This window comes from Homo sapiens, chromosome 12, assembly GCF_000001405.40.
Source record: "Homo sapiens chromosome 12, GRCh38.p14 Primary Assembly".
Lineage (NCBI taxonomy): Eukaryota > Metazoa > Chordata > Mammalia > Primates > Hominidae > Homo > Homo sapiens.
In genome coordinates, this window is record NC_000012.12 from 66,726,229 (window position 1) to 66,744,253 (window position 18,025).

Genomic DNA, 18,025 nt, shown 5'->3' on the forward strand with positions numbered 1-18,025 from the left:
CTGCTTTACAATATTGTAAGGCAGCAGGTCCAGCAATTTCTTCAAATGAATAAAGATCAAACTATTAAAGACACAAGTCACTAGTTTGAATAACTTTGTATTACAAAACTGTAGAATATGTAAAATTATCACTCTATGAGTTGGATAAATATATTGAATTTATGACCTTCAATTGCTTTCCTTATCTATAAAATGGAAATGACTGCCCTAGACGCCTGAAAGAATATAGGGCATAACTCCAACAACAACAACAAAACAAAACAAACACAACAACAACAACAAAAAACAAACAACTTTAATTCTTGTTTCGCCCATTCCAGTATTTTCAGATTGTGATCTGGGGGCATGAACAATACCTTTTTAAAAGGTTAAGCACCTATTTATAATTGATCTGACCTCTATCAACCAATGAAGCAGCCTGTCATGCAGTTGTAATATTTTATGTCCACAGAGGCCCCAAAGTATATTGCAATCATATACGGAAACTACACTCTGTTGAGCAGGGTATTTTTAGCACAGTTCTCAAAGCATCGCTGAGCTGGAAGAATTTGAGGCAGTAAAGTTAGCCACTATCTTCATTCTGCCCATTAAGTAAGATCGGCTGGATCCTAAAATGAAGTGACACCCATTATCAGAGGCAAAGCAAATTTCCTCAAGAGACCAATGTGCCCTTCAGGATATTAGCTGCTGGCCTTCGCATTTAGAATTAGTTAAACAAATGCAGTATGTAGTTCAGTTAACTGACCAAATCATTTATATTGTAGTAGTACAAAATACAAAATCTCTCCTTCTAAATACGATAAAAATAAACATTTCTCTAACACACAGCTCAAATTTCTCAAACAACATATACTCCATCTGGAGTTTAAAGTCACGATTAGAAGATTCTATGTGTATCACATGTGTGTGCACATGTGTGTATGGTTTTAAAAAGAAAGCATATATTTACTCATAATGGTATGGTAGAACTAAGTACTGCTTCAAATTTTTCAGTTTCCTGTAATAGGATAACAGCTCTGTACCCATACCATGTAACTTCACAATGCCTCGCAGTGGAATAGGTGGGGGCAAATATCCCTGCCTTGTTGACTTTGGCCAGTGGATTCTGGCATAAGTGACAGAAAGACAGTTCTGAGGTGAGGTCTTAAAAGGCATCACATGCTTCTGCTCAGTCCTCTTGCTCTTGGGCCAGCAGCCAGTGGAGGAATATGAACTGGGTAGCTGCTGGTTGCAGAAAGAGAGACCCATGGAGCAGAGTGAAACCCAACCTGCATCTGAAGCAAAGCTGCCCCAGTCATCCCACAGACCCAGAGATGAGAAAAACAAATGGAGGCTGTTGTAAGTGCTGAGATTTTGGGGTTGTCTGTTATGCTGCATTAATGGAACAAACCTAACTGACACAAAAGGGAAAAATGCAGAATTAGAATATTTTTATTTTACTTTTTTTCAATGCCACTGAAAATTCTTCATTCTTTAAACACATAGCCTTTTGAAAGAAGGTAGAAAAAGACTAGAAATGCCATGGAAATTAAGGATGGTAGACCTATGAGGATCTATTAACATAAGATACACTGTAGGAGCTAAAATAGATGAAATGGGCATAGAAATATGCATATAAGTTCAGAGGAGCTGCTGCTATTCCAGCCTTCTGTTGGAAAAATTCTACATTGAGAAAGGTTTTAATTTGCCCAAGAGCATGGGCAAGAAATAATTTCAATATTTTTACAGTGCTATCCTTGATGATGTTCATCTTGACCTAAGTCCTTGAATTCAAAAATGTTAATTAAAGTTTGTAAGTGTTGATAGAATTTTATAAAAAAGACCAGATGCTAGAAAGACAAAAACCCCACAACAGACACATTGCCAAAGATAAAAGATCCACCTTGAGGGCTTTCATGTTACAAAAATGAAATGGAGAAAGATAATTCAGATTTTAATGTAGCTCATATTCTACAATCTATACAAATTTCCTTATGTTACTTTTTAGGATTAGGTTTGGCTATAAGTGACAGATTATCCAAATTAATGGTGGCTTAAACACAGTAGGATTTCTTGTCTCTTATAAAATATGAGTCCAGATCTCAAAATTTAGAGGCAATAAATGCAGGGCTGCAACGGCTCATCACAATGCCACAGGCCCAGGATCTTTCAATGTTGTTGCTCCACAATTCTCAGCACACAGTCACCCCTGCTGCCAAACTCTAAGATGGCCTCCTGACATCCAGCCATCACACCCGTATTCAGGGGGCAGAATAGAGGAAACAATAAAGAAGAACACGCCCTTTCTCTGGAAGGGCACTTCCCAGACATCTCATGTGATATTTTAGTTTATGCCTTTATTGGCCAGAACTTAGGTTCACAGGTACTTTTAAACCATTATACTCAGAAAAGAAACTGAGAATTATTTTATCAAAGAAGGAATGAATGGATACAGGGCACCAGTAGCCTCTGCCACAATTCTTACTATGTTGAGAGTGTAACCTATAGGCAAGCAGTAAGCCTATAGGTTATAGTCTCACAGCCTGCTCTAAGTCATTGTGGTACACCAAGACAAGAACTTTACAGAAACAGAAAAATAGCATTTCATTTTGAGATCTAAACAAAACACTAACAACACTAACCCACAGAATCGCAGCATACATAAAACTAAGGTGATGTCTATAAATCCCTCACTCCCCTTCCTCCCTTCCTTTCTTTATTGGTATTGGTTAAAATAGAAAGTCTAGTAATCACTAAAATGATCCCAAACATCCAATCACTCAAATAAAAAAGGAGCTGTGGGTTAACTAGGTTAAGGATACATTCTTCAGACAAAATACGTTAATTTTTTTTTTTTTTTTAAAGAGATGGGTTCTCACTATGTTTCCCAGGCTAGACTTAAACTCCTAGACTCAAGTGATCTTCCCACCTTGGCCTCCAGGGTAGCTGGGACTATAGATGTGCACCACTGAGCCTAACTAAAACATGCTAGTCTTGACTGCTAGCATTAAAGGCCTAAATTTGATGGAAAAGGCACATATTATCTGTTACTTTCTGGTATTTAATTTTAGGTTTTTGGCTAGTATTAAGAAAAACCATACTGACATTAATATATGCAGTTTTATTCCAAATAAAATATGTGACTTATTTGTAATGAAAATATAAAGGCAAATAGTGAGCATAATAAATACATATGTGCCAGGCACCATGTTATGCACTTAACATTACATATTTCACTTAACTCCTTTTTCAAAAGTAAATCTAGAAGGAAGGACTATTATATCTTCCAATTTACAGAATAGAGACTTGAATGGGTAAGTAATTTGTTCATGGTCGCATGCTACTCAATGATGGAAGGTAAAACCAGGATACATATTTTTTTTTGAGACGGAGTCTTGCTCTGTTGCCCAGGCTGGAGTGCAGTGGTGCGATCTCGGCTTACTTCAAGCTCTGCCTCCTGGGTTCATGCCATTCTCCTGCCTCAGCCTCCCCAGTAGCTGGGACCTCAGGTGCCCGCCACCACGCCCAGCTAATTTTTTGTATTTTTTAGTAGAGACGGGGTTTCCCCGTGTTAGCCAGCATGGTCTCGATCTCCTGACCTCGTAATCCACCCACCTCGGCCTCCCAAAGTGCTGGGATTACAAGAGTGAGCCACCGCACCCAGCCCCAGAATACATACTTAAGCCTCTCTGACTATAAGACTCAAGCTTAATCACTGCTTTACTATAGCATATATCTTAAGGAAAATTGTATGCATCATAGCGATAACTAGAAAATTACATATTTGTCTTTATTTTTATAATTCTTCCTTGTCTTATCTTCTATTTAAGTGAATATTCAGAAAACTCTGTCTCCAATGCTTCGCAAAACCAGCATACAGCAGACTGACTCATATATAATAGCCACTTGATAGCTGTAAAATGACTGAACTATGAAATTATTACACCTATTAGTAGTTCTATTTTAATCTACTTTCCAATAAATTTATGCCATACTAATGGTTTTTATTTTACCGTAAAATTTAAAAAGCACAAACATTTCCTAGCGTCATAAACAGCTCCACCACTCTGAATTTCTACTATAAAATAGTATCTATCACTAATGGCTAGTAGTGGTTTTAGAATCCTGCAAATTGTTTCATAAATAGCTATAATTGCAAATGTCTTAATATTTGAATTGTGTGTATGTAGCTTACTTAAAAATTCTAGGAGCAGGAACAATGGTTGAAAAATGCATCATTTATTGCTTAAGTTTATATTTACAATTTCTGTTACTAAAGATCCATAGCAATCTCCTGAGTTTACAAGAATTATAATTATCTGTCCAAAAAAGCTCAAATTTCAAAAATATATGTGAAATATACATCCTTTTCTTAAAGGTAAGTTACCCACAGAAGATATAAATTGTTAACCTAAAATATACTTGCTCTTAAGTACAAGCCCAAAGCCTAAATGGATACTAGTCCAAAAATAAGATACCAAGAGGGTCATCTACAAAAAAAAAAAAAAAAAAAACTCATACATGGTATTTCCCATGCCCAGTGTGCTGGGGAGAAGGTGACGGACCACAGTACTGAACTGTTATGCAGGAAAAGTACTTAATTCAAATTTGAAAAAAAAATGTATATTACCTTTCTCTCTCTCTTTTTATGTGCCTTTGGCTGCCCTGTCACTTTAATGCCTGAAACTTTAATGGCATTCTATCAATAGAATATTCTGTATTCTTGGGAAGAAAAGACACTAAGCAAGTGTGGAAAGCATAATTATTAACCTTAAAATAAAAGCTGTTTTTATCATTGTTGGTTAAATAACAAAGGGAGACTATAAGCCTACTCTTCTGGCTTTGGAGTCATACAGCCCATGAAGTTTTCTAGACACACACATTTATTCTTAGAGAGATCTCATTAGATATTTTCTCTGCCTGTGGATTTCATTATTTTAAGGAGGATTACTGGATTGCTAAAGAAGAAAGAAATAGGTTTCACGGATTCAAACAAAACAGAATGAAATAAAAAAGAAAAGAAGTCTTTGTTATAAGTACCATTAAAAGAGATTAAAGATGAAAACCACTTTTGGACTATCATTAAGCTGGTATTATAACACATTGGGCTGAGAAGAGATATTAAATTGTGTCATAAAATGATTTTTGACATTTGACTTTTTACATGTCTTACATTTAGTTTTAGGGACTGTGGGATGAAGGTGCTATAACCACATAAGATCACTGTGCAATGTTTTGGATAAGAGCATTTACTGTTAAGTAAGATGTTATCCAGTTGTCCAATGAGACCTGTTTATAACCTTTTATACAATATCTGCCTTATTTAATCATTGAAACTATAAATAAACATGGTGGGAAAATGACTACTTGTTACCTGAAAATCTATCTGACTGCACAAACATTACTAGAGCACTACTTGGTGTCAAATACTATGGTAGACAAGAAAAGAATTAGGTCATAATAAAGAAATTTTAAAACTATGGGAGATGTGCAACAATGTGAAGGTGCTTAATGCCACTGAACTGTATACTAAAAGTGGTTAAAATGGTAAATTTTATGTTATGTATATTTAATCACAATTTTAAGAAATCTTGAGAGAATTCTTCATGGCAGAGTAAATTAAGTGGACTATGGCAGGCTAACAATAGAGGCAGGGCCTATTTGTATTGACACATAAAATATGTTGAGGATATGGCTTTTAAATTTTCAAATGTATTTGTAGTAGATTTTAGATTTATAAGAAACTTGTGTTAATTCAAAAAATTGAGAAATGCAATGTTGATGAAATTCATTCTTCTAAGTTGGTACCCAAAGCCTTGTATCCAAATGCCTCTATATCAAATACAATTGACCCTTGAATAACACGGGTTTGAACTGTGTGGGTCCACTTATATGTAGATTTTTTTTTCACTAAAAGTTACACCTGCTCCTCTTGCCTCCCCTTCCACCTTCTCTACCTCTTCTGTCTCTGCAACTTCTGAAACAGCAAGACCAATCCCTCTTGTTCCTTCTCCTACTCAGCCTACTCAACATAAAGATGATAAGCATAAAGACCTTTCTAGGCTAGGTATGGTGGCTCACACCTGTAATCCCAGTACTTTGAGGGGGCTGAAGCCAGAGTATCACTTAAGGACAGGAGTTCAAGACCAGCCTGAGCAACATAGTGAGACCCTGTTTCTAAAAAACAGTTACAAAATTGGCTAAGCATGTTGGTGCACACCTGTAGTCCCAGTTACTTGGGAGGCGGAGGTGGGAGGATCATTTGAGCCTGGAAAGTTGAGGCTGCAGTGAGCTGTGATTGTGTTACTTCACTCCAGACTGGGCGACACCGTCTCAAAACAAACAAACAAACAAAAAAAAAACAAAAGAATGAAGACCTTTTTGATGACACTCTTCCACTTAATGAAAAGGAAATACATTTTCTCTTGCTTATAATTTTCTTAACACTTTTTCTCTAGCTTACTTTATTACAAGAATATAGTATATAATACATATAAAATATGTATCAACTGACTATTGATGTTATCAGTAAGGCTTCTGGTCAACAGTAGGCTATTAGCAGTTAAGTTTTTAGGGAATCAAAAGTTATATGCAGATTTTCTGACTATGCAAGAGGTCAGTGCCCCTAATCCCCACTTTGTTCAATGATTATTTGCAATGTAAAACACTAAAGTAACATGAAAAGGATACTTAAATAACAGAAGATTTGACAATTCAGAAAAGTCATTAAGGATTGTGCTAGGCCCAAATTTTATCATAATAAAGAGTAATTTTGTTATCAACAGGAAAATAATCGCAGCTTTAAGATGACTTTCTATGTTTTTTAAAAAGGGATGGGTTCTTGCTGTGTTGCCCAGGTTGGACTCAAACTCCTGGGCTCAAGTGATCCTCCCACCTTAGCCTCCTGAGAAGCATCCTTGTAGCCACCATGCCAGAATCTAATTATTTATATGCTGAATAAATAAGTATTTACTGTGGGAAAATAACAACGTGGAGAGAGGGGGTTCTGCTGCTTATACTTGTTTTTATACATTGTTGGTTGTGGTAAAGACTGCTAATTGGTGAACTAACATCCCTTTTCTTTTTTTCTAATATGGAACACTGATTTTTCAGAGTGATGGCAATATACTCAAGCCAATAAACTATACATTTTCTACATGACTAAGTCATGGCTAATAAGATATGAGTGGATGTTTCTGGATGGGACTTCTGAGGAAAGTGCCTTAAAGCAGAGGGCTGATGTAGCTGGGATGTAACTCTTTCCTTTGCCCTTCTTCCTCCATGGAACTTGGATGAGATGGCTACAGCTCAGGCAGCCATCTTGGGGCCTGAGGTAACAACCACATGTTAAGGATGTCCAAGCAGGAAAAATGGAAGGCTCCTGGGTCCCACTGGTGACTGTAGCATCACTACACGTGGGCCACCAACCTGTAAAATTCTCATCACAGATGAAAAATAATCAACTAAATTTTTAAAGCCACTATTTTTAGGTCTTTATATCTAGCAGCTGTGTACAATATCTAACCCATCCATCAGTAAAATAGGAATAAAATGGATATGACATCCCACTGAAGTAAGACAGCCTTCTTCAAATTTTAACCAAAACATCCTGTAGGATTTTAACCTCACTGCATAACACATGACAGTTTTATTTCAAGGGAAATCAAAGGAGAGAGGAGCTCCTTTCATGACATTTCAGAGGTAAGTGTGCTAAAGCTGTGGCACTATCACCACAGGGCATTATTCTAAACATGGATGCTTATTGCTTTTTTCAGGAGAGAGGTGGTTTTCTACGTACGCTGCAACTAGGAGAGGCAAAAAGGAAATGTGGGGCCCACACAGCAAAAGCAGCAGGAATCAAAGTTGCTTGCTTTGTAAATCCTGAGATCGGAATGCTACGTATGTTAGGCTCTCAGAGGTCTAGTTTAATAAAATTCCTATTTTAATTACAGCAGCATCCTTAAAGTGCTATCATTAAGGTTGTGTCAGCAATTACTTTTTTACAACCTTATTTTCCAGAGAATAATAAAAATGTGTTTGGCACTGATACCTAGGGCTGAAAGCTGGCACTCAGCTCTCCAACTATGCGCTTTTCCTTGCTTCTGACAAATTGGAAGAGAACCTGTACTGTGCTTCCTTGAAACTGTGAAAATTCTAAATGATCAGACCTCCAAATTGCTTTGCCTTTGATTGTCTGAAATTCAGGTCTATGAACTGTCAGGGGCGATCACTGCTGTCATGTTTCAGGATGAGAAATGTGGTTTCTACAGTAACAACAGCTCAGATTGATTAGGGCTTAAAAATTAAAATCACCCCTCTGAACTGTACTTTAAAGAAGGAAACAAGAGTCAAAATACAGAGGTATTCATTTTCTTAGTATACAGATCTATGATGGAATGATTTGTGAGGAACAAGATATTTTAAGATATTTTAAAATAAACAAGATATTTTAAAAAGGGAAAGAATTAGATCAGTGTGGGAAGATAACTTCAGAAACAGATAACTTCCCTCCATAGATGGACAGGAATAAACATTTGTTTTGTGAATGGTAGGAAGAGTGTTATAAAAATGCAGCAAAAAAGGCAGCATTAGGAAATTCATTCTTAAAAAGAAACATCGCTAGACTAATTGAGGCTTAAAGAAGAGTGGAATCTCTTATAAAAGTGATTTTATATTAAAGGCTGCATATTATGTCAAGCCTCAATTATGGTAATAATATTAAGTCTACGTAATATAATAACTCAAATTTATTGAGCATGAAGTGTGGACAGGTCTTTTGATAATATTTTTACATGTATGAACTCATTTAACATGAATGACAATCCTGTGAGGTGGGTACTTCTATGATGTCCTTGCACAGTTTCTCCAGTAGAAACTGGGACAAAGAAATGCTCAAATGCTTGTCCTCACAGCAGTGATGGGAAGCAAAAAGTGGAGTCCCTGTTGTTCTTCTCAATAGGATTTATAGGAGCGTGATTGTTCTGGATTGTGTGCAAATCTATGGAATAGTAAGTTTTATTATAACAGACTTCCATGGTTCTATGAAAGGATGAGTGGGTTTTAAGATACTCATAGAGAAAGTAAAAATATGCTTATAATGTCGAAGTAAATAATAAGAATTTTCTGAGGCATAGGAAAAAGACTGCAAGATAAAGAGTAATTCTGGAGTAAAGAAAAGTTATAGGAACAAAGTCACTAAAAGAGACTGTGAAGTCAATAATAAACACGCTCACTAGCCCAGTGACAGCGGTGGCAGGGGAATCCAAGAGCATAACAATCTCACAGTCTGGACATAAATTTCTGACTCACTTCTTACTGCCTGGAGTCATTCTAAGACGGCTTTATGACAAAAGGGAAAATCTGATTAAACTTGGTAGGAAGATAAAAAAGTTTAAGTGGCAGCAGGAGGGGAAAAAAAGAAATGGAGGTGACAAGAGAGGAGAAAACCTGAGAACAAAGGTGACAGGAAGGGGAGAGTAAGGTGTCAGGGGAAAGAGACCATCAAGAAGTAGTCTGAGAAAATAGGCCAAATAAGCAGGGCAATCGATCATAAGTGGCGGGACTTCCAGATGCAAAAGCTGCCATTACGAAGACAAATCTCTCCATAATCCCAGGTCTTAATCATTTTCAGCCTGACTCTATCCCAAAGACAATATGCCTCAGCATTAAACTGTATTTACAGGCACTCCCTCCACTCCCCCATGACTAGTGGGCAAAGATGGCCCTTGGGATATCATGCAGCTGAATGAGAAGAGGGATCTTGAGACACATATGAGATGTGGCACCCAGGAGAAGAAGAGAAGGTGAACATAAACAGTTCACCCTTAAACAATGCTGAGGGGTTGGGGAGGGCTGACCCCTGCACAGTCAAAAATCTGTGTATAGCTTTTGACTCCCACCAAACTTCACTAAGAGCTTACTGTTGACCAGAAGGCTTTCTGATAACATAAACAGTCAATTATTATATTTTTCTTCAGAGACAGGGTCTTGCTCTGTTGCCTAGGCTGGAATACAGTGGCACCATCATAGCACACCAATCATAGCTCACTGTAACCTCCAACTCCTGGGCTCCAGCAATCCTCTTACCTCAACCTCCCAAGTTGTTAGGATTACAGGTGTGCACCACCGTGCCTGGCTAATTTTTTTTTTTTTTTTTTTTTTTTTTTTTTTTTTTTTTTTTTTTTTAGGATACAGGGTCTTGCTATGTTTTCTAGGTTGGTCTCAAACTCTGCAATTAACATATTTTTGTATAAGTATTATATACTGTATTCTTAAAGCTAGAAAGAAAATCATAAGGAAGAGAAAATAGATTTACTTTTCATTGAGTAGAAGTGGGTCATCATAAGGGTCTTCATCCTCCTTGTCTTTATGTTCAGTAGGCTGAGGAGCAGGAGGAAAAGAAGGGGTTGATGTTGCTATCTCAGGGGTGGCAGAGGTGGAAGAAAATCTGCACACTAGTGAACCCATGCAATTCAAGGGTCAACTATATTTTAAATGTTTAAATTGATATTCATCTGCTACTAAAAGTCCCTGAAAAAAAGTTATATGAAAAATTTAAAAAGATATTTGGAAAGAATTTCACTAGGTAGATAAATTGATACCATAAAGATACATTGGAACTAGACAAGATCCACTATGACATTTTCTGGAAAAGTAGTCTGCAAATTGAATATACATCAGTGCTTGCTTTGATATACAGTTTGCAAGTCATTTTTTTTTTTTTTTTTGAAATTGTGTTAAAACCCTTACATTCTAACATTCCCTGGGCTCTGCAGACTGACAACTATTCATCAGGGATTTTCAGGTACAGCTGCGAAGCGGCAAAAAATACTAATGTTAGAAGAGCTGGCCACGATCATGTGTGCATCTGGGTGGGTTGAATAAATTATGGGGCTAAACAAGGGTCAGTTTCCTTCCCTTGGATACAGGGGTTACTATGTCATTCCCCTCAGTTGCATAAGATGCTTGTTTGCTTAGGTTGCAGTTCACTGTGACTGACTCGTTTTTTTCTTTCTAGGTTCTGCAAATTGTCCTCTGTTTCACCTCTAGTGATTTCCAGGCTACCCTCTATCTCTTTCTCCTTTTTTCAAATTTGAGATGGAGTCTCACTCTGTCACCTAGGCTGGAGTGCAGTGGCGCGATCTCAGCTCATTGCAACCTCCGCCTCCCAGGTTCAAGAAATTCTGCTGCCTCAACCTCCTGAGTAGCTGGAATTACAGGCGTGTGCCACCATACCCAGATAATTTTTGTATTTTTAATAGAGAAGGAGCTTCACCATGTTGGTCAGGCTGGTCTTGAACTCCTGACCTCATGATCCATCTGCCTTGGCCTCCCAAAGTGCTAGGATTACAGGCATGAGCTCACCTCAGAAAGTCATCTCATTACTCCTTATCTCTCCAGCATTTCCAGCATAATTTCTATCTTCCTCTTCCTCGAACTCAGTATCTCTTTGACAATATTTTTAAAAGTTAGCAATATTGCCACATCACTTCACTGTATCTTGCACTCATTTTTTTTTACTCTTTTATTTTGCCCATTCTTTCCACAAATATTTAATCATTGCCCACCAGGTGCCAGGTGTTATGTTCGACATCCAGGATACCACAAGGAATAAGGCAGACCGATGTTATGCCCACGTGAATTTGAAGTTCTAATTAAGAAGGCAGACATTAGACAGGTGATTGCCTAATACAGTTGTGATCACGCACTGAAAAGAGAAAGGGCAGGCTGCAAAGAGAGCATACTAATGGGAGCTGACCAGATGAAAGGAATCAAGGAAGGATTCACGTGGGAAGGAGGGCAGACAGAAGGGGGTTGAGGGGAATTCACTTCTGGTGCCTGGGACCCCCTGGCTGGAAGGCCTGGGGGCAGAGAGAAGCACAGGTGTTGAAGGACTGGGAAGAAGTGCAGAGATGGGCTGAGAGAAGGCACAGCAGGAGGAGAGCTGGCAAGGCAGGCAGAGGTAAGAACATGGGAGCCTGGCAAGTGATGTCATAGATTTCTCTTTTTCTTTTTTTTTTCTTTTTTTTTGAGACAGAGTCTCCCTCTGTGGCCCAGGCTGGAGTGCAGTGGCTCTATCTAGGCTCACTGCAAGCTCCGCCTCTCGGGTTCACACCATTCTCCTGCCTCAGCCTCCCAAGTAGCTGGGACCACAGGTACCCGCCACCACGCCCGACTAATTTTTTGTATTTTTTTAGTAGAGACAGGGTTTCACCATGTTAGCCAAGATGGTCTCGATCTCCTGACCTTGTGATCTGCCTGCCTCGGCCTCCCAAAGTGCTAGGATCACAGGCATGAACCACCACGCCCACCCACTTATTTCATTTTTTTTAATTGCAAGAAACATATGAAACCATCAGAGGATTTCAAGCAGGAAAAAGAGGTAAGGCCCATTGTTGGTTTTGAGAGATTGTTCCTGTGATGTGAAGAAGATGGGTCAGAAGGAGCAAAAGGGGACACAGGGAGATGAGCTCAAGGCCCCAGTGATAGTCCAGGGGACAGTTGATGGGGGCTTACATTAGCATGCCAGCTGTGAGAAGGAATGGAAATGGGTGGGCATAAGAGAGTTAAGTATGGAGAATAAAGGCGACTCATAAATGCCCTTGATATCCTCCTAGTGCAATGACATGAAGGTGTATATCTGTTTCCAGAATGGAAGCTGACTTTTCTACGTTGCCTCTCCACTCATGCCAGAAGCCATCCTACCCAATTCCTCCTTTACATACTCAGGGTTCTTCTGTCCTTCACTTTGTTCAGAGGTTCCCCAGGAACTTTGATCCTTGACTTGGAGAGCCTTATATATTTGTTCATAGATTAACATGATTAATAAGTCAGTACATTCTCCAGTGACCACAAACACCGGGTCTATAATGTGCTCTGGTCACGATAAAATTCTGGGCTAAAAAGTCATCAAAGAAGTACCTTGTCTACTGTAACTCATGCCAACAGGACAACTAAGAGATTAGATAATAATCATTATGATTAACACCTACTGAGTACTTATGAATATACCAGGTTTTCTAGTTTGATGATGAATGTAAACCTCACAGAACTCTTATGTCCTATAATTTATCTCAATTTTACAGAAGAAAAGACTGAGGCTTAGAAGGCCAAAGTAATTTGCACAAAGAATGTATGGTGGAGCCAGCAGTCTTACTCTGCAACTGACTGACTTATTTGATAAGGTAATACACATCTCACAAGCAGAAGCTTTATCTTCTATGAAGGAATCTTTGGCTCCAAGCCCCATGCACCAGTTAAAGGCATTGCTGAGATATCCCACAGTCTCAGTGATAGCCATATTTGTCAAACTGATTATTGAGATTCTGATTCCCTTAGTGAGGGGAGCATTTAATAGTCCTCCATGGTGCGGGGGCAGGGAAGTGACAGGAGAGGGAGAGCATCAGGATAAATAGCTAATGCATGCTGGGCATAACACCTAGGTGATGGGTTGATGGGTGCAGCAAACCACCATGGCACACATTTACCTATGAAACAAACCTGCACATCCTGCACATGTATCCCAGAACCTAAAATAAAATAAAAAAAAAAAAACCAGTCCTCCATCCAGTCCCCTCTTTCTAACCTGAAACCCAGCCTCCTTTCATGTTCTGAGAATAAGGAATAATACTGAATAAGGAAAAATCAGCATCATGCCAAACTTCCTATAAGTCTGTTGAGGCTCAGTCCTCAATAGTAGTCTCTACCCATCTTCCTCACTCATGAATTCTAGGAAATGGATTAGGAAGCTGAGTCTGTCCCCAAGTCTGCAGCCCAGCAGCCTCAAGACTGAGATCCTCCCCTTGTCAGCTCTCCCCTGTGACCCTGAGTCCTGCCATTTTTATCCAAGCTCTTCTGACAGATGCCCTTAATGTGAACTAAGGAGAGCCTCAGATAGAGCTGTGCCAAGAAACCTGGTGACTGGGTGTGGTCTGGCAATCAGATGTCCTTGTTGCTATGCCATGTCTGTTAGATCACTGATGATGAATATACATCTTGCAAAAATCACCGATTTTTCATTCTGTCTGGCCTTCCTAGCCCCACTTTTACCCTAGATGGAAAAGATCTAATTTCAGGTTTGCCTTCCTCAGCTGGATCTGGCCATCTGAATTTAACTGGACCATCCTCACCCCTGTCCGTGCCTATGAGTCATAAGTGATACAAATGTCAGCATCAGCATCAGTGTACAGTTCTTGACTTCAACAAAGGATGTTAAGACTGCAGTCACTCCGGTTTTTCTCCTAGAATCTGAACTGTGGCCAGAAATAATTTCTGGCTCCTGGCCCATGGCATAGATGGTTTGAAACCTGAGTTCTAACGCCAAAAGTGCTTTTAACTCATTAAAGATGTTGGAAAAACCACTTAGCCTTCTGTTGATTCATCCCATTAGAAGAATACAAGCCAAACTATAGGGAGGTAAATGAAGACTGTATTTAGAATCAAACTTACATCTATAAGAGCAGTTAATATTTATGGAGCACTAATGTGCCAGACACTGTGCTAGATGCCTTGGATAATTATCTCATGCAATCCTCACAACAACTCATGAATATATAATGAGATTATTTAAACGTTATATTTGAGAAAAATTAGGCTTGGAGAGATAAAAAAAAAAACTAAGATTAAAGAGCTAGGACATGCTGGAAGCAGGAGCCAACCAAAGTCCTCTTTCTCAACCCTGGGTGGAGGAGTTCATATTCTCTCTCAGCATAGCCAGATGCATATGTGATATGGGCACATATGCTTTCAATGTATGCACATTTAATTTTCAAAGCTAGAAATTCAATTAAAGAAAAAAAATGTCCAATTTGACCAAGGCTCCTTGAAACGGGCTTGGTTGTGAAGAATGATGCTCAGAAAAACAGCTCCCCTTTCTCTAACAATTGTTCCCAGCTCTCTTTCATAGAAGATGCAACATCTACTCCTACTAATACAAATAAAAGAGAATTATTCTGAAGCAATTTCTTCTCCTAAGTGCTTTTTGTATAGGATATCTATCCATAATCAACATTTGATAGCAGTTCTTACTTTTTAAAAAAGTACTTAAAAACCCTTTATTTCAAAGGGATTGTCTGTAGGGCTTGTCCATGAAAATAATTCTCCAATTATGCTATACATTCTCTTTACTCATCTCCACCTCCTACATTAAAAATAAACTTTCCAAAACAGATAAAACAACTACCTAAAAAGAAATTAACCAACTCAGAGGGAAAATGTGGGGATAAAGTAAGATCGGCATTCAGAAAGTTAACTTGTCGCAGAGATAAAAGATAGTCCCACCAACAGGGTATGGGGCTAGGCCAGCACTATCCAGTAGAAATATTATGTGTGTCACATATGTAATTTTAAATTTTCTGTAGTCACATGTAAGCAAATATAAAAAAATGTGAAATTAATTTTAATAATATTTATTTAATGCCAAAAATTTCCCATTTCAACATGTAATCAATCTAAACGTTATTAAGGTTTCATATTGGGGGGTTGCTAAGATTTGGAATCTGGTATGTATTCTGTACTTACAGCACATCTCAATTTGGACTAGCTACATTTCAAATGCTCTATAGCCAGCCACATGCAGCTAGTGGCTATGGTATTATCAGATAGGACAGACTAGACCATCACTAATCTGTGAATATTCTTCAAGTTTCTAAACATAATGGCTTCCCATCTTTAGAAAACAGCCAGCTTTTTCCTTATGCTTTTCTTTGCCAAGCACTGTTTCTTTTCATTGCTTCCCAACCTCTCTACCAATTCTTCACTCAACTCATACTAAAGAAAACAATTTTCTGTCAACAGCTCACAATACTAAAGTGTAGAATTATACACCACTGTACCTTTTTCTTCTCTGCTTTATACAGTAACTAGGTTATTTCCCTGCTCTAGTATTACTTTATTTTCATACCTCTTGCCTTTGATTTATGAGGGCTGCCAGTTTCTCTGAGGTTTAGTACTGAAAACTCCATAAAGTTTCCTCTCTGAGAGGTCTGGTGTTTCTTTCTGACATTAACTGTGCTGTTATATTTGCATTTTTACTGGAAGCCACCTCAACTCATCTTTCTTTCAAAGAAGTTGGGATATTTTGTTACAAATGAACTAGTAATAAAATAGTTTCCTTAGGAAAACGGAGAGAAACTGATACCAAACAGAAATATTTGCTTGTAATCTTCAAGGAACCAGTATAAATTGCTACACGCAGCTATGCCACCCACAAGGGCATCCTGACAAGACTACCAGCACCTCAAGAAGTAGAATGGATTACTACAGGAAGGTGATTATAAAGTCAAGTAAAAACAACAACAGCACTTCCAGGATCATCTTGAAGAAAGGTTAATTGGAAAGGAAGTGATAAACAGATTTACACTATTTGGATAAGAAGGATCTATGGCTATTTCTGGTGTATCATAATACACTCATTTACTCAGAAAAATGTTAAAAAAAAAAGTGCATTGCAAAGTTGTTTCAAGTGAGAGATAGAACAGGAAATAGAAAACAACATTTGAGGAAGTGGCTGCTCCTTCCCTAGATGATCATATAAAATGGCAAGCTGAGAGAAGAAAAGGGCAAATGAGACATGATGAGGTAATAAAAAATAGAGAATGTCAGTCAAATTTATTATCTATTTTTGACAATTAAAACCAGTAGTTAATTGTAGGCAGTTAATGACTAGCAAAAGTAGGAGGAAAAATAGTCAATGTAAGAATTAAATTCTTATTGAAAAAAAGAACAGTACATACCTCTCTGTCATAAGAACAGGTAGCATTTAGAAAATGAAACTTTTCAATGTACCACAGAAACAGCAGCCTTTCCTGATTGGAAGAGATGTCTACTTCTTAAGACAAACAAGCAGCCGTCCAAAACCCATGGTAGCAATAATAGACATGAAAAATAAATAAAGAAGAGAACCATTCTCCAGCTAGAATGCAAGGACTGCATTTACTCACCTAACATCTACCCCAGGGATTAGATGGCATGCAACAGGTACTCATTAAATATTTGTTGAAAATATTTTTGGGGAATGATTATAGCTGTAGGTTACTAGTAGGTATAGTTGTATTCCCAAATATGTTGGGGTAGAAACAATGCTGAGAACCACTGGGCGAGTGGCAACCTCCCCCAAAGTGGAAGGATTAAGTCTGGGTGGTAGCAGGAGTCTTGCTATTATCCAAGCTGGTGGAGTGACCAGGGAAACTTTATTATGAATCCTAAACAGAGTAGGGGTCATGAGGAGGAACCCTTTCAGAAGCCAAGGTATGACTGATCCAATTAGATCCGTGGATCAAGAGCCAGGGACCTGGAAGAAGTCAATATATCAGCCAGAATAAATAGTGATCATACTTTCCAAGGGACAAGTTGAATCAATGATGTCCATAACGTAAATAGGCTTTTTTTTTGTGTGTGTGTGTGTGGCCATGCACTCAACCTTTACCAGGATCCTGTCCTGGAGTGTCTAGGATACTGTGCAAATCCCCAGATTATAAGATAACAAGGAGGAGGAGGAAAGCCAACATTATCCAATAAAGCCAGACAAAGTTAATAGTGTTAAAATTGGTGTGCCGGTAAATTAATCAATTTTCTATTCAAAAACATCAGTTACCAGTGGATTGCCACAAGGGCTACAGCTATGGAAAGACTGAAATCTTTGTAGAGGACCTTTCCTCCATTACATATTCAAGTGAAAGGAGGCAATTTTCATTGACAGTAGCTTCTCTACCTTCCACTCAAAAATACAGATCCTATAGCTGTACAGAATTCCTTGTCCTTATCTATGATAATAGTAATTTCTTTTTCAGGTTCCTTCAGTGCTTTTCCATTGCTTCCTGTGTCTTAATTAAAATATTATCTTCATACTATGAGCATGCTCTCTAGAGAGCTACCTAGCTCTCATTCTTCCAGGTGCTGCCAGTGGAAAGTTACCAAAGCAAGTAACAGAGTAAGTTAATAAACAAGCAAATGAGTACATACATAAATACATGAAAATGAAAGTAATAAAACATTGCCTAAATCTAATTTAATTTATTATACTGTTTTCCCATCATGCCACACCAGT

The 18,025-nt window shown here is 38.2% G+C and overlaps 1 protein-coding gene across 13 annotated transcripts in view, besides 1 other annotated feature; it reads right to left on the bottom strand.

Moving 5' to 3' along the window:
* GRIP1 (glutamate receptor interacting protein 1) overlaps positions 1-18,025 on the bottom strand; it is a 721,908-nt gene that overhangs the window by 378,798 nt on the left and 325,085 nt on the right. The window lies entirely within an intron of this gene.
* Positions 7,096-9,722: an enhancer, noted in NCBI's record as "VISTA enhancer hs1498". NCBI's record gives its function as "enhancer in: hindbrain (rhombencephalon)[10/15] | eye[4/15]" and the evidence as "EXISTENCE:transgenic organism evidence [ECO:0001131][PMID:17130149]".